Below are 18610 nucleotides of genomic sequence, written 5' to 3'. Positions count from 1 at the left end.
GCAGAGATGACTCAGCAGAAGATAAAGAAATCAAACTGATTTTTTATTTTTTATTTTCATTTTTTGTAGGGACAGGATCTCACTGTGTTGGCCAGGCTGATTTCCAACTCCTAGCCTTAAGTGATCCTCCCACCTTGGCTTCCCAAAGTAGTGGGATTACAGGTGTGAGCCAGGACATCTTATTGAAACTGAGTTTTGATGGACGTAAAGAATCAAAGTTAGTGGCCTCGATGGAAGGATGATGTATCATAAGTTGAAGAAACAGCAGAAACAAATGCATGGAAGCAAGAAAAATAACTAAGTTATGTTTGGGGGACAGGATGTAAAGTTCAGAAAGATAGGTTGGGATAGTCTAAATGACTAGGGGTGAAGAAGGACTTTGGGTAGGGGGTAGTGTTTTGAAAATGATGTTTTCACAGTATTAGCCTGGTGATGGGTATGCAAAACTCTGGAAGTGAGGCGAGGTAGAGGCAAGAAGACAAGCTTTTGCTTTTATACATCATATTTAATTTTTAGCATTTGCAAAGGAAAATCACAAATTGCCAACAAAAAGGTATCCTAACTGGTGCAAAGAGAGGAATCTGGCATCTGATTTCTCAAAAAAAGCCATTAAAGAAAGCGCTGGTAAAAAAAAAGTAATTTGACTCGTGACGAATAGATAGCAGTCACACCATAGCATTAAAATACTTAAAAGGGGGTAAAGAAAAGTTGAAGAGAAAAAGGAGAAAAAATTGTTACATAAATAAAAATAATTTATGAAAATCTCTATTCTGAAGGGACAAGGTTTGATTATATTATTTTCATTTACTCTTCTCCTTAGAATAGTTTGAAATTCAATCTCACACAAGTGATTCCTACGAACAGATAAACCAAATAGTCAGATGCTGGCATCAGCAGCAGCTCATCATATTAAACAAAGCTTGCTGTGTGTCAGAAACAAAGCTCCTTTTATAATTGCATATGCAGATAGATTTTCAGGATCACTTGTGCTTGGTATGATTTTTCTGACTTCCAGTCACTTACTATATTTTTATTTCTTAAAGAGCCATTTTTATTTGGGACAGTGTCTTGAGGGTGAAGACTAGGTAAATGGGACTCTATGTCCTTAAAGAAAAGGACATATTTTAAATCTTTTCACTACAGAATGATCTTTGGATTGAATTCATTGCATTATTTAATCTACCACCTCTCAATAAAACTTTAAAAATGCCCCAACTGAATTGTAAACTCCAAGAATCTGTAAGTTCTTGTTCAATAGTATGGTGATACATTCCTTTGTGTAGTTTCAAAATGTTCAGTGGTGTGGATGATATTACTACTTAAAGTTTGATGTTACTCAGACTGGACAGAATTCTGTATCAGTTTTGCAAAGACTCAAAACACTGGCACTAGGATTATTGTGTATAGAAGACACTTTTGTTTAAACTAAAGTCGATAAGGAACAGGCATGATAAATCATTTCCTCCAACATCACTTCAAGTCAACACTTCTCTAATGCCTTAAACAAAATAAAACAGACAACAAAAAAAGGGACATTATATATAGTAACAAACCACAGAGCAATATTAGCCTTCTATTATTATATACAGCTATAACCTTAACACTTAATTCAGATATTTGCAAAATTACCAATCAACTCTTTCAATGAAACCACAGAAAAATAGTCCGTCAGAATACCACTGATAAGCAAATGAATGTCATAATATTCAAGGATAAATATCACAAAATTAGAGGACATCTATTATTTGCTGAAGCTATATTAAATAAATGAAATATCATGAACAATTCCCCTACCCGCCCCCCACACACACCCAACAATGCTTTGGTTTTGAGAAGATCAAGTCTGCTCCTACTTAAGACAATGTGTAATATTTTTCTACAGAAGATTGCATACCTGATGTGTTAGCAACTCGAGACTGCTATTTTTATGCTGTAAAGGTTTAAGGTCTGCTGCTACCCATTATAAACATGTGATTTACTGCTGTTTTATTTTACTTGTTAAGAATTAAATTTAAAACAAAGGGCATTATTTAAGGGTTTTAATATCCGAATAAAGAAATAGAATCAAGCTGTAATATAATTGTAGAATGGCAACTTCTAACTATGAGGAAACAATTTTTAAAAACCTACATATAAAATCCAGGGATTATTATTCTATGGCTGGAAGCTAGATTACTTATCTGTAGCTTCACTATGCCTCAGTAAGTCACTGTATCCTATAGTTCTGCTGCTCTATTTTTGGTGTGTATGATTCATTCATTAGTTCATCAAACACTGGTTAACCTTCAGGTGCCACACTCCTGGAGCTCTAGTAACAAAAGATAAACAGATGCAGGGGATATGGTCTCTGTCTTCAAGAAACTCACAGTTCAGTTGGAGAAACAGTCATGTAAACACATCATTATAATGGAGTGAGACATGCTAACAGATGCTTGTAAGGTGGGGCTGTGATGATAGACAAGGCATGTTTGCTTGGGGATTCAAGGAAGACCTTAAACAAAGAGTGGCTTATAGGCAATATTTTGAAGAAAGAATTGGAATTACCAAGGCAGGTCCAATAAAAATCACACAAATAGTGAAATAGTTAAATTAGTCAGTTAAATAGATAAATAATTATGTGAACTAAGCGATTAAGATTCAGGTGCTATTCACAAGTAACACCCTTTTTGAAACACACGAGCATAGCAGAGGATAGACAATGTGAAGCAGAGAACCTAGCTATAAATGTGAAGCAGGGAAGTGACCCCTGGAAATATATTCAGTCCTATTATCAATCTCTAAAATACAGAATCAATATATGAATTCACAGGATTTTTGAGGAAAGTATTTGAACCTGTTCTGTGAATTCTAAAGTATCCTACAAATGTTATCTACTTAATTACACCAATTTTTGTCCAGTGAGTGTAGAAGTAGAGGTAACTTAATTATAAAGATGTGCTTCTTAGAAATGGCAAGACAAATTTTCACATCCCTCTTTAGTATAAATATCATTTCAGTAAATTATGAGATGCTTACCATAAAATCTTTTTACATCACATTATTGTCATTAATGTCCACAGGCCTAATCAATACTTGAACAAGGGCAATCACAATGAAGCATGGATCATATTTAGAAGACATCTTTTACAACCGAAAAGTCTCTGAACAGAGGACAGTCCTTGCACTCTGAGTATATATAGTTTTATTTTTCCTCATTATTCTATTTTATTTCTGAGCCAATGTAACTGTCAGTACAATTATTGTGTCATGTAAAATTTATTTTCCAGACTTGCCCCCACCTACATATTGTCAGTATAACAAATAATAATATTGTAGTCTACATAGCAGAGTACAATGGTAATAGAATCAACATCCAATTCCAAAATCAGGATATTTTTATAAGTTTTTTCTCGAAATTGATGTGCAATGAATCTGACACAAATCCAGTGTTTGGCAAAAGCCTGCCTGAGGGTACTCTTCTCTGTCTGCTTCTTGCTGAAGCATATTCTTGAAGCCAAAGTATAGACTGAACACAGGGAACTTCAAAAGGAACTGCTGAGTCCTGCACCTCCTGTCACAGCCAGAGAGATATGCCCATATCTCTCTGTAATTATTGATTTATTGACCAATAAAGTAGACATTTGTATTTTTGCCACTCAGAATCCACTTCCCCTATTTTTAGTGTAAATATACTATTTTACTTCAGAAAACTACCCCTTTCAGCTTTTAGGCTATGATGTGTCTGCAGAGATAATCCCATCCCTAAGCTTGGGGTAGACATTTGATTTGGGCCTAAGCCAATCAGAATATATTATCTTTCATGAAAATGATTGGTTCAAATATGTCCACGTGACCTCACTGGAGACCATGTGACTATGCTGGAATGGCTATCAGGTACTATATTTTAATCACAGAAAGATATCGTGTCTGAGGATGGAAAGAGAGATCAAGAGATGAAGAGAGTCAAACAGGGCCCTGATGAAGGCGTCTGACCCTGTAACCAGCCATGCCAGATCAAATTCCAAACTTTTTGGACACCTAATCTGATGAACTTCTCTTTACCTAAACCTAATTTGGGTCAAGTGTTCTGTCACTTACAGTGCAATGAACAGATACAATCAATATCAACGATTTAAGCCCTATCCCTGTTACTAGCAAGAGAAAGAAATGTAGCTTATTTCTTGCCTGTTGCTTCCCAGGCTGCCCCACATTGTCTGTGTCACTCTTGCATATCCATGCCTGGTTTCTCCTAACTAGGGCCTATACCTCCTATCACTGAACTTGTAAATCACACCCTAATAATGACTTGGAAGAAATGGGTTATACTTACCTATAACACTCACAATTACTCTATTCTCACTTTTGCTTGCCTGCCTTGAAGCCCCTTTCAAGTAGCAATATAACCAAACACCGCATGTTCTCACTCGTAGGTGGGAATTGAACAATGAGAGCACATGGACACAGGAAGGGGAACATCACACACCGGGGCCTGTTGTGGGGTGGGAGGAGTGGGGAGGGATAGCATTAGGAGATATACCTAACGTTAAATGATGAGTTAATGGGTGCAGCATATCAACATGGCACATGTATACATATGTAACAAACCTGCACGTTGTGCACATGTACCCTAAAACTTAAAGTATAATTAAAAAAATTACTTTTAAATGATATCCACAGCTTGTTTTTCTGTTTCTGGTTTACAGTTGAATTATACATATCATCATATTTGTCTTTGTCCTGACTATACTTTTATTCTCAAAGGGCAATTTGTCCTTTTACATTGTGGAGCTCTGCTATGACAACATTTTCATATAATGTTCTTTCCAGATTGTTTGGAAGAAGAGCTTACACTGCAGTGGGTTAAGTGCGATTTCCTTTGCTGAGTGGCAATAGCAACCTTACTTACAGAATTAAGCTTTGCCTTTTTTTTTTCTCTCTCTCTCTTTTCAACAGTACTAGTGGGATGCTTTCTCCTGAAAAGCTGAGTATCTGGCATATGGAAAAATCAACTATTTGTAGTAAAAGCTTGAGGCTTCCAAGGACTTTTGTGGGCATCCCATATAAATTCAGTGAGTTGGAATTAACAGGTCTGTCCTTGCATAAATGAATAGAAAGCCTGCAAAGTAATTCTTTGCTAATCACAGCAAATTAGTCCTGAATTCTACTGACATGGAAAGATTCTAACTGGCATCAAGCCTGAAGACTAAAAATAATTATATTGCCATGGATTAGAAAGTGTCAATATTTACATGCCTTAGTGGGATGTAATCTTTATTGAAAACAGAATGACTAAATTTTACCCAAAATTGTGATACTCTGATTGTTAACATGTTTTTGGACTTGATAGATGTATACCTTCTTGTCTGAGGACTGAGTAGAGCCATAAAGAAATCCAGAAACATCTCTCATTAATATTCTACCTTTCAAGACTCCTGAGATATTCTTTTTCTTGTCATTTAACAGCATTTAGTAGTTAATAATAAATTTATTTTACATATTTTCTGAAAAATATTTACTGTACCAATCTTTAACTAGATAGTAGAGATACAATTATATGAAAGAAGAAAAAGTCCCTTTCTTCATGGAACTAATATTCTAACAAATACTCATATAGATAACTGCTTAATTAAAGTTTTGAGGAGTATAACTACTATGCAACCATAAGGTAAAATTTATTATGGTTAAAAATGTATAAATAAACCACAAGTCATCTATGCATGTGGACATTTAAAAATGTTAATTTAAGAAGTCACTACAGTCTAAACCAAACAGACCTCCTATCAAGTGGGAACTTATCACTTTTTAAATCTTGTCTCTCAAGTCATTTATGACTGCAGAAATAAATAGGAGCCTCAAGGAAGAAAATGATCAACAAGAATAAAATATAGGTTAAGGCATCAGCTATACTTATCTTCACAATTATGAGAGCGAGCTAATTAAATATGACAAACTTGACAAAGCAACATCAATTTCTAAATGTAAATATAAGAAACTCATAAAGAAAGCTCTGAAATCAGTCAGTCAACCAATCAATCAAAAAACTGAATAATTTCTCTCTTTGCCTCTACTGTATTTCTCTTAAGATACAAATGAGTGCATTTTGAGAAGTAAATTTTGAGAAGGGAGAAATGACAATTGTGTGACTCCTATGGAGTGAATAGAAGCTAGATAATCAGGGAAAGGCAGGGATGGCGGCTCCTATGACAGTGAGCATTTGTCCAAAAGATACAGCTGTACATGACCCAATGTTTATGATTCCTGAATTTAAAAACAAAAAAGATGAAATGATGACCAAGTTTTGAGACCACCGATTTGCACTTAGGAGCTTACAAATTGTCAATCATGCTATAGGGTAGTGTACACATGCGTGGGAAATTTGTATTTGAACATTTGCCCACAACAGCAGCTGAGGAGAAATCCACATGAAGTTATTCATGAATTTAATCTTAGAGAAGATTTTGAGTCCATGTAATCTGATTTTAAAACTGCTGTTATGTGATATTTGTGTAATCAGAGAAAAAGGAAAGTTTCAACTACTTGGAAATTGAGCCTATTTAAAAAAAACAAACAAAAAATTTGTGTTTTAGTGAACTTGAGAATATTAAAACTTAACTACTCAAATCTATCAAAATTATATACAATTAAGCACTATTATGTACAGAATGGTATAGCAGCAACTGTGTCCTTTCATTCTCATTTATCCCTTTATAACAATTATTAAATAAACAATCCCTCTTTGCACTTATAAATGCTTATGTTGGATTTATAATGTATATACAGCTATTTCTGTGCAAACTGAAAATTATAACTAATTGATTTTTCCTTTTAAGTGGTATTTGCAAAAAATCTCCAAACCTTTAATATGATGGATGTAAGTAACATTTCCACAAAAAGAATTTATTTTAAACTGTTTACTTTGTTATGCTTTGGAATATTTAACTCAATAGATTCGGCCTCTTTGAATAATTAAATCTAAGTCACTTAGAAGAGAATTTCTGTAAAACTATAACTTGCATGTGTGTGTATACTTTTGGAAATGCTTTAAAAAACTGAGATTTTTAAACTCTATGTCTGAGAAATAAAAAGCATCCTTTACATTTTGAAAAAAAATTAAACATTTTCAATCATCAGAGTTCAACTAAATTTCACAAACTGTAACCCTGATTATTTGAGTCATGGCAAATGCAATAGAGAACTTTCAAAGTATATTATATTAGGGAGATTAGCTTAGTATTTTACATATATAACTCATATAATCTTCTTAATAACCCAAGAAGAGAAGTCATTGGTCCATATCACATAGTCTAACTGATGGAGCTGGTATTTTAAGCCCAAGAAATCTGACTCCAGAGCCAAGCATGGCATATGTATAAATATGGTGAAAAGTAAGATAACTTACATAAAGTATATTTTAATAAGAAAAGGGAAAAATTATGGTTAAGTGGGGGTGTTGTGAAAGATCCTTATTAAACAGGCCTAGACTGGACTATTTAGCCTAGGTGGATCAATCTACAAAATGTTACTGATATAAAACTTGTATACAGATATACAAGTCAACCCATGGTCTACAACAATGGACAGGGGAAGCTGCTGTAGATAGCAGGGTTGTGGATGATGCAAAGAATGCGTGATTGCATTTCACATAAAAATAGATTAAAATAACTCTTCAAGTATTGCACAGCATCTTAATAAAAGGATACAAATTATACAGTATATAAAACAGGTGACAGTGCCCTCTGGAGGATGCTACTGAAATTTGGCACCAGCTACCTATTCAAGAATGCTGCAGGTAAAATTGACATTCTTTCATGTATCAGAATCAGTGTGCTTCGAAAAATACAAGTGCAATGAAAGAACTGTTCACACTGGTTCTTCAAACTTGTCCTCAAAAGGCAGCCTTTGTAGTACTACCAGCTTAATGCAAGGATGTAGATGGGGTAGTATTGGTTTTTATAATTACAGGAGAGATAGGTTGCAATAATCGAATTTATGAAAAGTGTTATCAATTGGTTACTAAGAATTTCAACCAAAAATATTTTATTAACAAGTAGCCATCCCAAACTGTAGCAAATCAGGAACTGCATTTGACCAAAGATTTTAAATATGCTACCATCATTTGTATCAGCTACCGTTCTGCTTATCATGTTATGACTTCTGACAGCAGGAACGGAATGCCCAGTGTAAGTGTGAATCTCTTAATTTAGTATTTGGTCTAGAACCTTTATGTTCACTACGGAAATGGCTCTCTGGCTCTTCATATTGTCCCTTTGACACACATACACAGACACAGAGAGAGATACTGTGTACAATTACTTCCTGAAACCTGATATCAAAGAAGGTTTGCAATCGAAATACAAATCCCTAGGGAAAAAAAGTGCAAAAAGAAAAAAGAGAGAGAAGACACATCAGAAAGACCAGAGCATCAGAGATTCCACTTCAGATAAAGTACCAGAAGTTAAGAAAGCAAGAAAACAGACTCTAAAGCTCAAATTAATTTTATTTTCTAAAGTCACAGTAATTTCTGTGTCACCACCATGCTAGAATAAATTAATAAACTACCTTGAAATTACAAATCATTCATTAATATGCTGGCTTACTTCCTAAAAAATCTAACTGGTTATTCGTATATCTGCTAGGCCACAAAAGAAATATAAATAAAATGAATAAAAATAAAATACTTAGGGGACTCTCCAAAACTTGATAGCTTGAGATTAAACCTGAGGCAGAGAAGTCAGGGTCCAAAAGTCACTGCAGGTCCTATGTTACTTGTGTTTCAACTTGGGAAAATTGATAAATACATAAAAGTAACTAACTTTATCTCCCTCCTCCTGAAAAGGAAAGACAGCTATAGTGAATCTTATTTTTATTTTCCTAAGAAAGGACTCCAAGCTTATTAAAATAACCAATTAATTAATTTAGAGATTCTTGTTATTGTTTGTTAAAACACCAAATTATATTACTAACAACACTCACATTTTTGTCTGTTTCACTGCTTAGTACTTTAGAATAACTCTAGTGCACAAATGTGGTAGTAATGTATTATCCCACATATATTAAATCATTATTATATTTTAAAAATCTAGATAAAATACATAAAATTGAAAGTTGTTAGCCTCCTAGCATAAGAAAACACAGAAATGTCAATCAATGAAAAATGAAATCAATATTCTGTGTCTGTTGAATGCATTCTTCTTGCTGATAATTACACTTAAAAAAATGAAAAGGGAGAAAGCCATAATACCTTGTTGTCATAGGATATTTATGCTTAAAGAAATATGGGATATAAAATTTACACTATATAAATGAAAAAAAGCCACAGTTATAGTATTAAAATGTGTGCCCACAGACATGTGTATACCTTTTGACTTTTCTCTGCACAGTTTGTATAAAAATCCCAGAGTCCACTTTGTTAATCTTGAGAATGTCTGGCTTTCTGCATAACCTGCTAATTTCTTTCCAGCCCCCTAAAATGTGGCATCTGTTATACTGAATGAACCCTCTCCTCATTGTTTCTTAATGGTAGGCACCACTATTATTTACTTACTTACTGACCTATTTATGTATTTAAATAAACAGAAGTTGTCCCTAAGAGATTGCCACTTTTAGGCATAAGTTACACCAGAAGCTGCCATCTTCTCTCCTTTCTCTCATCATTAGATATCCTTAGAGAAAGGTAAACTACTTCCAGCCAGCTCCATTTTCTCAGCTCCCATTTAATTTTAAGTCCCTTACACTTTAGCCTATGCCTTTACCATGACAAAGCAATTGCCTTGAAGGCTTACAGTGATCTCCTTTGTAAACTCAGTAACTGCTCAGCCTCATCCTCCTTTAACCTCTTGAAAATATTAACTAAAGAACTTCTACACAGCAAAAGAAACTATTATCAGAGTAAAGAAACTATTATCAGAGTGAACAAACAATCTACACAATGGGAGAAATTTTTGCAATCTATCCATCTGACAAATGTCTAACGTCCAGCATCTACAAGGTACTTAAACAAATTTACAAGAAACAAACAAACAAAAAACCCCATTAAAAAGTGAGCAAAGGGCAACATGAACTGAGAGTTCTCAAAAGAAGACATTCATGCAGCCAACAAACATATCTTAAAAAGCTCAACATCACTAATCTTTAGAGAATACAAATCAAAACCACAATCAGATAGCATCTCACACCAGTCAGAAAGGCTATTACTAAAAGTCAAAAAACAACAGATGCTGGGGAGGTTGTGGAGAAAAAGGAACACTTTTCCACTGTTGGTGGGAGTGTAAATTAGTTCAAACATTGTGGAAGACAGTGTGGCAATTCCTCAGAGACCTAGAGGCAGAAATACCATTTGACCCAGCAATCCCATTTCTGGGTATATACCCAAAGGAATATAAATCATTCCATTATAAAGATACATGCACGCATATGTTCATTGAAGCACATTATTTTATGCCAGATGCTATGGTTTGAATAGTTGTCCCCTCCAGAACTCATGTTGAAACTTAATCCCTAGGGTAACAGTATTACGAGATGAGGTCTTTAAGAGGTGATTGGGTTATAGAAGCTCTGCCCCCATGAAAAAAATCCATTCACGGATTCATGAATTAATGGATTAATGCATTATCATGAGAGTGAGTTGGTTATCATAGGAATGGGCCATTATATAGGCTAGTTTGGCTGTCTCCTGTGAGCCCCTCAGAATGTGATACCCTGTGCTTCCTTGGGACTCTGCACCAGCAAAAGGCCCCTCACCAGATGTAGCCCCTGAACCTCTGACTTTCCAGCCCCTAGAACGATAATAAATATGTTTCTTTTCTTTATAAATTACCCAGTCTCAAGTATTCTGTTAAAGGAACAAAAAATTGAACAAGACATCAAACTTTACAGTAATTCCTTTATGCACATTATTTTGCTGAAAACAATCTCTTTTTTTATGTTATCCACCACTGATCATCTGCATTTTTCAAATGGTAGTTTTTACACTTTACTATACATCACATTTATTTTTGTGCAATTGTCTCTCCCTAAAGAGTAAAATTTTTGAGTTTGACTTCGATATCTAATCCTTCCCCAATGCTTCCCACAGGACCCCAAAGAAACTAAGTTAGGAGTTAACTTACAAGACTCCCTTTTCTTGAAACGATCTGCATAAACGATTCATAAATATAAAATACACACACACATACCCATATAGACACACACGCATGATAGTTTTCATAAATTATTGCAACACTGTTCATCAAAAAAATCAAATATTCTCCATGTCAATGTAATTAACAGTCATTAATACAGCATGCAAAGATCAAAAAGAGATTGGAGAATTCTACTGGGAAAAAATATATGGTTGTTCTTTATAACAAGAGTATCTGACTCACTGCTGTTACTCTAATTTGATGACTAGAAGGGAAAGCATTGCTTGACTTTGCTATCCTCCTATCTTATCTAGAAAACAGGGATGAGAGAAAATGACAATCAATCAAACATATGAATAAAAATCAAGCCTTGAAACATGCTCATTCAAATGATATGAATGAGTGCTCTGCATTTCTACATTACTGAGGCTGCACACTCAGCCGATGAAAACCTCAGTGCCCTAACTCACTGCATACTTTGTCGATCAGAAACACTAGTATCTTGCTGCAGAGGGAATGCTGCCTGGATTCACATGATTACCTTTTTGATTAGCTTTCCTACTCCCATTGCTACAATTTGTCCCCTGTTGCACACAACTCTCTTGAAGGAAAAAATATTTCACTTCTATGAACAGAAAACTTTTTAAAATTCTTGGTTTATTTTATGCCCCTTGGATGACATTTATTCCTCAGAAATAGTAAAAGTTGCTTTTATAAAGCAGCATTATTTTTTTAAAAAATAGCCCAAGCCAGTTGGTGGCATTTCTGCATCTTCATCATAAAGAAGCATATTGATTGGATGAAAACGCTACATAAACAAATTGCAACAGCCTGTTTGAGGGGAAATTGCCCTGCCCTAATGAAAATGTAAATAACTAGCAAAGCAATGCCAACTGAAACAATGGTCTAGTTGGGGACAATTCTTTTCGTTGTAGGACTGCTCAATGCAAGGGGGTGGGGGGTAACTTTAACTGGCCTTCTGTGTCGTGCTCCTTCAGGATTTTGCTTAGAATTGCATGACTTCCAGCACTTAGGAGTCTGTGGTTTGATTTTCACTTGTGAAGTTGAAAATTGCAGCCATGATAATTAGCAGTGACTGCATTTCATCATGCTAAGCAAGGAGCATGCTCTTTAAAATACACCAAGTAGAAGAAAGCAAGGTGAATAAAAATAAAATGCCAGTATTTGAAAATTAAGCCAATGTATTACTAAAATATTTTCATCACTCAAAAAATATCCCCGGAATAATAACCAAGCAAACAATTCTAAAAGCAGTTAGACAGTACCATACACTAGGTAACTCCCATGAGAAGAGACACTTCAGAAGAAAATGGATATTGCACCTTCTTTCAGGAAGACGTATTGGTAGAATTTCATCCTGAGACTCACATAAATGGATAAGCAAGCATAAAACTAAATCCCTTATAGAGTTGATGTTCCAAATTTGTGAAGTATTACAGAATTTTAAGGATGGAGATTATAATGCAAGCCCCGGTAAACAGAAGTCAGCACTGTCAAAAAGCAATTGTACTTTTCCTTTCTCAGAAAGTGGACAAATATTTTTCAATGTTTTTCCACAACTCTGTAACCCCATGTGCTTTTCTGGTCCAGGATTTTTTTTTTTTCTCAGCACACACATCATTTGAATGGTGGCAAGCAGGAAAACACTTTTAGTAACTAACTGGCAGATGATTTAGCTTTTCTTAATTTGATTTTTAGTTTCTCAACCAACAAAATATGCCAGAGGGGATTTATCTGGGAAAATTGGGTCTTAAAAAATAGTCTTTTTTTTAACTCAAATTGTTCGTATTTTTAGGACATCACTGAATTTTGAAGTTGGTTTAACATGTGATGAGTAAAGGCTTACCTAATGAACTGCTGAATGAGTAAATTTTTGCTTCATTTTTACTTGGCCAACCTGGCCTAAACTCAAGAAATGTTTTTAGTTTCTGATTAATGGTGAATATGCCCTATATACCGAAATGAAATCAATTCTCGTTTATTTCAACTGATACAACATATTAGTTTGAACTAAGGTTATTTAAATCATTGTACATGTACAAATTTTAAGTGAATATAATTTTACAGCAAAAATCAATTTAAGAACATCCTTTCCCTTTATGAACACCATGCACATTTAATTGAGCAAAAGGAGCCAGATAAAGTTTACATCAGCATGCTTCCATGTATATGAAGTTCAAGAAATGTCAACACTAAAAGATGGTAATAAACATCAGAACAGTGATTCCCAGATGAGTCAGGGAAGAGTGGGGAAGAATGGAAGAGAGGATTCAAAGGAGGCACAAAGAAATTTCCTGAAGTGATAGAAATATTCTATATCCTGATTGGAGTGGTGGTTACGTGGGTATACAGAGTTGTCAAGACACACTGCAGTATACATCGAAAAACATACTGTGCATTTAACTGAATGTAAATTATGCACATTATTTCAATAAAGTTGATTTAATTAAAGTAAAACAAATATTCAGCTCTGGGCATTTGCACTACTGATAAAGAAGGCAGCACTATATCATCTTGGAACCCCTTTCTGAAGCCCCCTGTTTGTATCTACGCACATAACCTTTAAACTGAGTGCAGATTCTACATGAGGGGAGAACAATCTTAGTTTGAATGTCTAGAAGTTCTGTCTATTGGCTTGGTATTAATTAAATTTACCTATTTTGTTTTGAAGATATAATCACGAGATTATTGCTTATAATTTACTCCGTGATCTTAAGAGGAAATTTGGCTGAGTTTTCATTCCGTTTTGAACTGTGCCTATACATACATACACCAGCAAAACAGTTAGAAAAAACATAAGTCTTCCAGTTGCTCTTCTAGAAAAGTTAGAATGTGTAGAGTCAAGGAATTCTCTTATATTGTTCCAGAGATCAGAATAGGGGTTAGTCAGCAGTGGCTATTGGGAGCTATGACTGGGCACTGTAGAGAAGAGGCAGCAAGACTATAAACTATGGCTGGGCAAAGTCCCATTGTGTGCCTGTAGTCCCAGCTACTTGGGAGGCTGAGGAAGGAGGATCGTGTGAGCTCAGGAATTCAAGGCCGTAGAGCACCACAGTCATGCCTGTGAACAGCCACTGCACTCCAGCCTGGGCAACATAGCAAGACCCCATCTCTAAAACAAAGCAAAACAAAACAACAACACTATAAACTGTACCCAACAGACTATTTTACTTCAAGACATGTTCCTTCTTCTTAATGAGGAAGACCCTTCAATTGGCTTTCAGCCTTTAGAGCAGCTCTAATATTTGCCTCTGATGGTAGAAGGAGTTGAGATGGACATTCAAATATCCTAACACTGTCACAAAAGTGCAGTGAACTTTAAAATGCTAAAGGAGAATGCCAAATTGAATCTTTGATTTTGGAGCTTTAAACCACACTGAGCAGAAATGTGAGCTTTTTTTTTTGATATTTAGAATTGATAATTCTTACAGAAATTATTTCATTGCTTTTGAGTAATACTATTAATAATAGCTAATATTTGCTTTGCACTTATGGGGAGGTGTTATATTAAGCACTTGGTATATGCTAATTTACTCTTTGAAAACACTATCTGGTAAGTTACTGCTGTCATTCCTATGATACACACAAGGAGTCTTCGACTTAAAGTAACTTATCTCAGGTTTAACAGCAGATTTATGTGGACTGGAACTTTTAAATACAAAGATCATAGAATGCTGCAAGAAAGTGTAGGTAAGAGCATTGATAAATATAGCAAAGAACCAGAAAGGATTCTAATGTCCATCAATAGAAGAATTGATAAGTAAATTATCACAATGTTTTCCAATAACATACAACATAAATTGAAAATCAGGGAACTATAGCTACTCACATCAGCATGGACTAATCCCACAAACAGAATTTCTGATGAAGAAATCAAGTCACAGAATATATACAGTGTAATTACATGTATATACAATTCACAAATGAAAAATATAAAATAATATCTTTTGAAGATATACAATTCATTAAAATTATAATGAAAAATAAGACAGCAGTAAACTCTATTTATTTTCTGCTTTATAATTTCTTATTCCATCTCAAATAGTCCTCTGGCTACCTTTGTATTTATTTTGCTTATATTTAAGTTTACCCTTCTAAGGAAGAAATATTTGGTTTCATCACTTTGAGATTCTAATAGTATATTTCAATAAATGTTTTGATTTATCATGGGTAATGTAAATAATAATTATAATACAATTTTAACATGAACTTCAGGAACTAAACATACAGAACAATATTTAAGAAAAACAAAGCATGTGCAACCTTCCTTTGGTACTGATAAATCTTAAACACTGATCTAGAATACTAGATATCAAACAATCTCCTCGGAACTCTTCCCCAGAAGCAAGTAGTTTGGCTAAACCCTTGAGAATACCTGTCTTTTCCATATTGTGCAATTTATTTTCGACAACAAGATCTCTGCCTTAGCCATAATTCTAGAATTGCAGGTCAGGATTGCTCTCCAGAGTCTTGGCCTGGGCCCTGACCATCTGCTGCCAAACCTTATTGAATCCATCTACTTGACTACCTGAATTCCAAGTATTGCTTGTTGCTGTCTTTCTGTGTCAATGAACTCTGATCATCAGCCAGAAAACACCCATCATCTATCTGTCACTTGTCACATAGACCTGTCTACTTGAACTGCTGCCTCCTTCTTTCACCATACTATTATGATATTATAGTTCCTCTAGGTTTCCAGCATTTAAAGCAAAGTCCACACCACAAATGCTGGCCTCACAGCAGAGAAGGGGTGGGAGAAGTGAGAACTGGCTAAATGTCTCTAGAGTACACTCACCAGCATTTCTTTTAGAAAAGAGAGCAATGGATATGAAAGAATGATTGCTTTCAGTGGGAGAAGGTAAAATATTCCCAACTACTATCAGCCATGTGTCTATATTCTAGAGCATTTCTTCCAACACTTGAGACTTTTGAATATTTTAATCATTGAAGATACAGGAAGAAATAACACATGGCCCATATTCTCAAGGCACTCATCAATTATTAGGTTCCCAGTAACATAGAACATGGCTAGACTTGCAAATAGAAGTATGAACACAGTGTAGTGGGACCAGGGAGATCCCCTTCCAGGAGAGCTCCTGATATCTAAGCTGAACTCTGAATATCAATAATGGCAATATTAGCAAGTAATCGCTGCTTAACTAGTATATGCTAATAATTAAGCAAAATATTTCATGAATTTATTTAATTTAATTCACAATTTTTAGGTTACATTGTTATTCCCAACATACAGATGAACAAACTGAATTTCAGGGAGATCAGGCAAGAGTTTTCAAGGATAGAGAACAAGGCAGAGATGGGGTTAGAGAAATGCAGAAAATAACATGAGACAATTAAATAACATTAACTCAAAACGCAGGAGATGATGTTGGAGAGGTAAAGATGGTAGTAAGGTATTGATATGGTTTGGCTATGTTCCCACCCAAATCTCATCTTGAATTGTAGCTCCCACAATTCCCATGTGCTATGGGAGGGACGCGGTGGGAGGTAATTGAATCAGGGGGGTGGATCTTTCCCACACTATTCTTGTGACAGTGAATAAGTCTCATGAGATGTGATGGTTTTATAAAGGGGAGTTTCCCAGCACAAGTTCTCTTCTCTGGTCTGCCACCATGAGAGACATGCCTTTCACTTTTCACCATAATTGTGAGGCCTCCCCAGACATGTGGAACTGTGAATCCATTAAAACTCTTTCTTTAGTAAATTGCCCAGTCTCCAGTATGTCTTTATTAGCTACGTGAAAATGAACTAATACAGGTATGGAATTTTCAAAGTCGTACTGACTTTAGAGTTACAAGCACAACAGAGTATGCTATTAGTGCAGTATAGTGTTTTGCACACAATAAATAATCAAACATTTTCGATGAAAGAATGAACATTATATAGTTCACTCTCTAATTCAATTTTCTCTTTGTAATTTGCCAAGTTGACCTCACATGTATGTAAAAATGTTAGTTTCAGAGTCTTTTGGGGATAGGATCTTCCATTATCTTTATACTTCAAGAACTACAGGCTGGACACAGTGGCTTGCACTTATAATCCCAGCACTGTGGGAGGCCGAGTTTTGGGCAGAAAACTTGAGGTCAGGAGTTTGAGACCAGCCTGGCCAACATGGTGAAACTCTGTCTCTACTAAAAATACAGAAATTAGCCGGGTGTGGTGGTGCACACCTGTAATCCCCGCTACTGAGGAGGCTGAGGCAGGAAAATAGCTTGAACCTAGGAAGCAGAGGTTGCAGTGAGCTGAGATTGCACCACTGCACTCCAACCTGGGTGACAGAGTGAAACTCCATCTCAAAAATACAAAAAAAGAACTACAATTTCTCAGTTTCTATGTTCAGTGAAAAAGACCAAATGAGACTTAGCAAAGTACAGATTAAGCTATTATAACAATAAACCCTTCACATTTTGTGTAAAACACATTTATAATACCTTATAAAGTTTCTATCTTAGCACTTCCTAAGATTTTGTTCAAGTTTAAGGAACAAAAAGCATATTAACCCAGACAACATGTGCTCTGGTAGGGAAAAAATCAAAGGTGAAAGTCCACTTACAGGTCTTATGAACATTTAGTGATGTCAGCCAAGGAAACCCTTATCGCTACCATAAATATATTTCTAAAACCTGCCAAAAAATAATTACACACAAACATTTTGAAATCATTTGAAAGCCAAGAAAATCCTTCCACATCCTCAAGGAACTTTAAAGAAAACATGTTTTAAAATAATGAACTGCCTCCCATTTTCCTCTATTAAATGATTATCTGATGTCAGATACTTGTCATCAGTTGTAGCTTAATTACATGGTGGCACTACCATTTGGGGAATTATATTCTAATGTCATGCTCGCCTAAAAGTAATTTGCATGCAACCTGCTCTTTGGTTCTGAGGATGATATCAGCCACTACAGAAGCAGAGAGCAAAAGTGTTATTAAGAAACATAGATGTGGCCGACGCTGTGGCTCAAGCCTGTGATCCCAGCACTTTGGGAGGCTGAGGCGAGTGAATCACTTGAGGTCAGGAATTTGAGGCCAGCCTGGCCAACGTGGTGAAACCTCGTCTCTACTAAAAATACAAAAATTAGCCGGGCGTGGTGGCACACGCCCATAATCCTAGCTACTCAGGAGGCTGAGGCACGAGAATCGCTTGAACCCGGTAAGCAGAGGTTGCAGTGAGCCGAGGTTGTGCCACTGCACTCCAGCCTGGGCAACAGAGTGAGACTCCGTCTCAAAAAAAAAAAAAAAAAAAAAAAAGGGAAAAAAGGAAAAAAAACATAGATGCTTGCTGAGGTCATATTGAATTGATGCTACCGCATAAGCTAAGGACAAGTACATATCTTACTGGAAGAGATGCCATCTCCATGTTTCTCCCATGAGAGCACAGATTCCTAAAGAACCTCATCGATCATTCAATGAAAAGTGACCTGAATTCTAATTTTCTTCTGCAAAACTCTTCTTTGAAATATTAGAAAAGC

The 18610-nt window shown here is 35.4% G+C and overlaps 1 protein-coding gene across 2 annotated transcripts in view, besides 1 other annotated feature; it reads right to left on the bottom strand.

Annotated features, from left to right (window-relative positions):
• The window catches only part of PCDH7 (protocadherin 7), a 426432-nt gene that overhangs the window by 93164 nt on the left and 314658 nt on the right, over positions 1–18610 (bottom strand). The gene's annotated exons all lie outside the window — the stretch shown is intronic.
• Positions 9439–10008: an enhancer, noted in NCBI's record as "NANOG hESC enhancer chr4:31045251-31045820 (GRCh37/hg19 assembly coordinates)". NCBI's record gives its function as "activates a minimal SCP1, AML or CMV promoter by ChIP-STARR-seq in primed H9 embryonic stem cells {active_cell/tissue: H9 hESC(primed)}" and the evidence as "EXISTENCE:reporter gene assay evidence [ECO:0000049][PMID:30033119]".

This window comes from Homo sapiens, chromosome 4 (genome assembly GCF_000001405.40).
Source record: "Homo sapiens chromosome 4, GRCh38.p14 Primary Assembly".
Classification (NCBI taxonomy): Eukaryota; Metazoa; Chordata; class Mammalia; order Primates; family Hominidae; genus Homo; species Homo sapiens.
The sequence above is the reverse complement of the archived record's forward strand: the minus strand, read 5'-3'. Positions and strand labels throughout refer to the sequence as shown.